The sequence below is a fragment of the Homo sapiens genome, chromosome 8 (assembly GCF_000001405.40).
Source record: "Homo sapiens chromosome 8, GRCh38.p14 Primary Assembly".
NCBI classification, from domain to species: Eukaryota; Metazoa; Chordata; class Mammalia; order Primates; family Hominidae; genus Homo; species Homo sapiens.
Window position 1 is genome coordinate 13,957,407 of NC_000008.11, and position 6,031 is coordinate 13,963,437.

General features: G+C 37.8%; 1 annotated feature.

The window, feature by feature from the left end:
• Positions 865–1,034: an enhancer, noted in NCBI's record as "experimental_101469 CRE fragment used in MPRA reporter constructs". NCBI's record gives its function as "activates a minimal promoter by MPRAs in K562 erythroleukemia cells, with activity observed for both the introgressed and non-introgressed 8:13815865 variant alleles {active_cell/tissue: K562}" and the evidence as "EXISTENCE:reporter gene assay evidence [ECO:0000049][PMID:34662402]".

Here is a 6,031-nt window from a genome sequence, read left to right on the forward strand (position 1 = left end):
TCCCTTAGGATTTTGGAGCAAAGGTCTGCCATTCTCCTCATATAACTATTCCTCTACTAAGAAACAGCTTTATACCTGCTACTTAGTAGAGACTGAAAATTTAACCATGGGCACCAAATTAATGTCATCACATGACCTGAGCATCTCATTATGAACTGGATATTATCTAAGCCATAAAGTTGGGTGTGCACAGCAGCACAACACTTAATCATCAACAGAAGTGGTATATATCTGATAAGGCCCATGCGTACCCTAAAAATACAAGTAAGTTGCATGAAAAAGTGTCCCAAGTCTCCATGGTCCCCACTCCTGCTACATTACCATAGTTTCATGGAGTTTTTGCTATGATCACCTGTCAGAAGAAGAGAAGATTAAGGCCTGGTTTATACATAGCTTTGCATATATGTAGGTACCACTCAGAAGCAGGCAGCTTATCACATTTGTCTATTACTTTAATAACATTATGCTGTTAGATCTAGTGAGCAATAAATAGCAATTACTCCAGTTATTGGAAGACATTAGTATGTCAGAAGGTGGGAAGTAAATATGACAAAAATTTAAGGCCCACTGTTTTTGAGTGATGCCTACATATACTCAAAACTATGTCTCTATGAGCGCTGTAGCCTCTTACTGAGACATCCCTGGAGGACAGTGGTGTGGAGAAATTCTCCTAGAAGGCAGAAATTTGTGCAGTGCATCTGGTTGTTCACTCTACTTGGAAGGAGCAATGACCACATGTTGACTACATACTGATTCATGGACTCTAGCCAGTGGTTTGGGTGGACGGCCAGGGACTTGGAAGGAACATAAATGGAAAATTAATGACAAGGAAATTTGTGAAAGAATTATGTGAATTGACTTATCTTAATAGACGAAAAACCCTGAACATATTTTTGATCAACATGCATGCTCAACAAAAGGTGTCCTCAGCAGAGGAGGATTATAATGAAGTAGATAGGATGACCCCCATCCTGTGGATACCAGTCAACCTACTTCACAAGTCACCCTTGTCATTACCCAATAGGCTCATGAACAAAGTGGCCATGGTAGCAGGGATAGAGGTTATGCATGGGCTCAGCAACATGGACTTCAATTCACCAAAGGCCACGTGGGTATGGTCACACTGCTGGGTGTCCAATCTGCCAGCAGCAGAAACCGATGCTGAGTGTCCAACATGCCCAATATGACATCATTCCCTGGGGTAATCAGCCAGCTACTTGTTGATAGGTTGATTACCATTTGACCACTTCAGTTATGGAAGGGAAGATATTTTGTTCTTATTGAAATAGCCACATACTTTGGATATGGATTTGCCTTCCCAGAAAACAGTGCTTCTGCCATGCCAAAGCTACTATCTGTGGACTTATTGAATGCCTTATCCACCATCGTATTCCATGTAGCAATGCTTCTAATCCACAAAGTTACTTCAAAGCAAAGGAAGTGTGGCAGTGAGCTTATAATCATTGAACTCAATGTTCTTACCATGCTCCCCACCATCCTGAAGGAGCTGGCTTGATAAGTCAGTGGAACAGGCTTTTGAAGACTCAAGTACAGAGGTATCTAGTTGTAAATACCTTGCAGGGCTGGGGCAAGATTTTCTATTTGGCTGTATGTGCTCTGAATTAGCATCCGATATACAGTGATATACAGTGCTATTTCTCCTGTAGCCAGGATTCATGGGTCCAGAACTCAAGGGTTAAAATGGGAGTGGCACCATTCGCCATTACCCTTAGTGACTCACTAGCAAGTTTTTGCTTCACATTCTCATGACCTTCTGCTATGCTGACCTAGAGATCTGAGTTTCACAGGGAGAAATGCCTCCACAAAGACTGACAGCAGTGATTCCATTAAACTGGAAGTTAAGACTGCCACCTGAATACCTTAGACTCTTCATAGCTCTGAAACATCTGGTAATGAAGAGAGTTACTGCACTAGTTGGCTTAATGCTGGCTACCAAGGGGAAATTAAACAGCTACTGTACAGTCAAAACTCCTGTACAAAGGAAGAGTATATTTAGAATACAGGAGATCATCCCTTATGGTGTCTTAATGTTACCATGCTCTGTGACTTAAGGTCAATGGAAACCTATAATAATGCAATATAGGCAGAACTACTAATGGCCCAGACCCTTTAGAAATGAAGTTTTAGGTTACTCAAACAATTAAAGAATCATCACCAGCTTTGGTACTTGCTTAGGAAAAAGGGTGTATGGAATGAGTAGTGAAAGAAGGGTTGTTATAAATACCAAATATGATTGTGAGGCCAATTACAGAAATAAGTGCTGTAATAGGCATGAGAATTTCCTACTTATTTGTTATGGATGTGTGTGTGTGTGTGTGTGTGTGTGTGTGTGTGAATTTATATATCAAGTATCTTTGTCCTCTTTTATTTCCTTGATATGTATCATAAAATATATTGACTTTATATAATGGTATTTAAATATTTTAAATTTTACATCGTATAGTCTTTAAGTTATGGGTTATCAAGGAAAAGAGTCAAGGCCACTCAAGAATTTTCAATCCCCTTCTGTGGAAGGGGTTAGTGCACTTATTATTGTATGCAGGATAGTTCCTTGATTTTAGGCAGACCTGTGACCTTGTTATTGTCTTTATTTGAAGATTAAGTGTGATTTAAACAGATATGGATGTGTTACCAGTGGAAGGCATCCAAGTTATGGGAGACAAATCCCTATGGGTCTACAGCAACCTCAATTCTTGCGTCCTCTAAAGAAAGAATTCAACTGAGGGGCATAAGGCAGAAAAAGAGACCAAGGCAAGTTTCAGAGCAGGCGTGGAAGTTTATTAAAAAGCTTTAGCACAGTAAGAAAAGAAAGGAAAGGAAAGAAAGGAGAAAGTAGGCTTGGAAGAAGGCCAGGTGGACTGCTTGAGAAACCAAATGCACCATTTAACCTTGATTCTAGGACTTTATAGTATGTCCCCTTCAGGCATCTTACCCCCCTTTTCCATGTTTCTTCCTTTAGGGTGGGCTGCCCACATGTGTAGTGCCCTCCCTACCCTTGGGAAGTGAGCATGTGTGGTGTGTTTAGGAAGTTGTGTATACGCCCATCTGAGGCTTTCTTTCCTTTTCCAGTGGAGTGCCTCTGGAAATGATACTCTGCCATTTTTGTCTCTTAATGTGCATGCGCAGGAATTTTCTTCTCCCTGGCATCTGCATTCAATTAACACTTTAGTGTTAATAGCTGTGGACCATTACAAATTGGTTTCTCCTTGGCACAAGCTGCCAATTTATCCCTTTTAGAAAGGTAATATGATCATTGCCAACCATCACCTGACATTTCTGGTGGGTGGGGGAGAGCCCTCTCCTGCCCTGCTCATGCCTGTCTACCTGTAACAGATGGGTGCCAAGTGGACAAGGGGTAGGCTTGCAATGGTTAATTTTATGTGTCAACTTGATTGGGCAGTAAGGTACTCACATATTTGGTTAAACTTTATTCCATATGTGTCTGAAAGGGTGTTTCTGGATGAGATACACATTTGAACCAGTAGACTCTAAAGCAGTTTGCCCTTCCCAGTGTGGTTGGGCCTCATCCAATTCACAGAAGACCTAAACTGAACAAAAGTAAGAGAGATTAGTTTTCTCTACCTGATGGTCTTTAATCTGATACAATGGTTTTTTTCATGCCTTTTGACTTGGACATAGACTGGAATTCTACCATTGTCTCTCCTGGGTCTTCAGTTTGCCTACTATAGATCTTGGGATTTCTCAGCATCCATGACCATGTAAGCCAAATCCTTATAGTAAATCTCTCTCTCTGTAGGAAATATATACATTTTCTATTGGTTCTATTCTCTGGAAAACCCAGACTAATACAATTGGGAAATAAGAAACAGCGGAACAAGGCACTGGGGAAAATAGTGTAGTTCTGTCTTAAATGGGCCAATGTTTTTTTCAAGTTTGATAGAAAGATATTTTCAGACATCCAAGAAGTCAGAAAATTTATAAGCCAAATACATTTCATTTTTTCTTTTCTGCAAGTCTTTAGAAGTAAGTAAAACCTGAACATTATTTTTGTTCAACATTTATTAAATGTTAGTCTATATTCTGTGGCATATTCAAGATTCCCTGTTGGCTTTAGGTTTATTGGCCTGACTTGTTCTGAATTCATGGATGTTCTCTGCTTTCTCCCTTCCTGTGTTTCAACTCCTCAATACCCAGTGGGACACTAGGTGTCAGGAGAGGAAACTTCAGCATGATTATAACACACTGGACTGGTTCCTAGTGCACAAGGCAACCATCACAATCCCCATGCTCCATGTTAGTCCTGATGAACACACACTCCAGCAGGCTCATCGGAACTCCTTTATTCCCTCTTGAGTGCCCAAGGAATACAACACCAATGAAGGACAAAACCCCAAATTTATACTTTCACTGTGGTTAATTCTAGGCTCAAGAGAGTGTCTTGGATTAGGAATTACCTGAACATGTGGTACTCATCCAATTTTCTTGGAGTCACTGAACTTTGGTTTGTCCCTCTATGAATCTGGGCTAAACATGCCCGCTCTGCCTATCTCAGGAAGTTCTTTTCACAATTATTGAATTCACAAGTGAGACTGTCCTTTGTAAGGAGCTCTAAAAGTTAAAGATTTCTTTTATCTGATGAAACATTTGTCAATCAAAAAATCTAAAAAAATTTAGTGGACTCTGATTCCTACGTTTAGACCTTTTCAATATAATGCTATGAATAAACTGAGGTTAATATAAAATAAAATTACAGTGTAAACTTATAAAATAATCTGATATAAAATTGCAGATAAGGATACAAAAGTGAGAAATGAAGCTTGAGATAAAGTACATTAAAGGTCCTCTATTTTGGAGAGAGGCTGTTATTTGGGGAGTACTGATACTGTCGCAAGTGTATATGTTAATACTAGTTACCTTAGTTAAAAATTTGATCTGGTAGATTCACAAAAAAATTGGATTTTCTTGTCATTAGGGTACAGAAAATAGAATAATACATATTTGTCAGTATAAAATAATATATTAATAATGAAACAATTTTTTAAAATTGAGAATTGCAGGAAATAGAAACATCTATTGTTCCTCCAGCTCACTATGTCACCTTCTCTCTCTGCCTTCCTAAGTAACCAGGGCCAAATGGTTTGGGCATAAGTTTTATCAAATCTTTGAGAACATAAATCCTAATGCTATTTATATTTAGAGACTGTTTCAGATCATAGAAATAGATATATGAGACTGAATTGATGTTACACAGCTGAATAAATGATAGAAGCCTAGACACAGATAAGGAAATAAAATCTGTGATCAGTTTCACCTGTGAAAATGTTCACGCAGGTCCAGGTAACTTATTAGCATACTAAATGTGACATTTCCACTACAAATGCTATCCAATGCATCATTTTGTCTAATAGCAAATATTAGTGATAAGTCAGATATTCTTAAGAGGGAAATAATTAACTAAAATAAAAACATCTCATAGTTACTTTTAAGAAAGATATATTTGCGCATGTCTAGAACATGTTTTGTTCTAGACAGAAAAAAATCATGGTACAAAGCAGTATATATGACATTATCCTCTTTCTGATAAACATAGCTGTGCACACGTTTGTGTATTATGCATCTGTGTTAAAAAAAATTCTAAAAATAGGCCATATGTGATGGTTAATCAGTGAATCAGGAATGCATATTTCTTTGAAATTATTTGAATTTCTCAGAAGTATGTATACATTTTTATTGTTGAATTTATAATTTTTCCTTAAGACTATCAGAGTAGTTATGGATTATAGAAATAGTATCAACATTACAGTTTCCTTTCTTTGGAGTAAATTTAAATGCTTAAAAAATTTTAAGCCTATTTATATGAAAATCTCTCTGAGGGTATAACATTATTTCTCACCCTGTGTAATCTAAGTTCTCATTGATAATGTTTCAGACTCTGGTCCAAGAGCTATAGTTGCTTAATGTTAATGTCCAACATCTTCATGGGTGTATTAATATCACCATTAAAAAATGAGCTAAAGCGTTTTGCTAAAATTTTACCAACAATAAATAG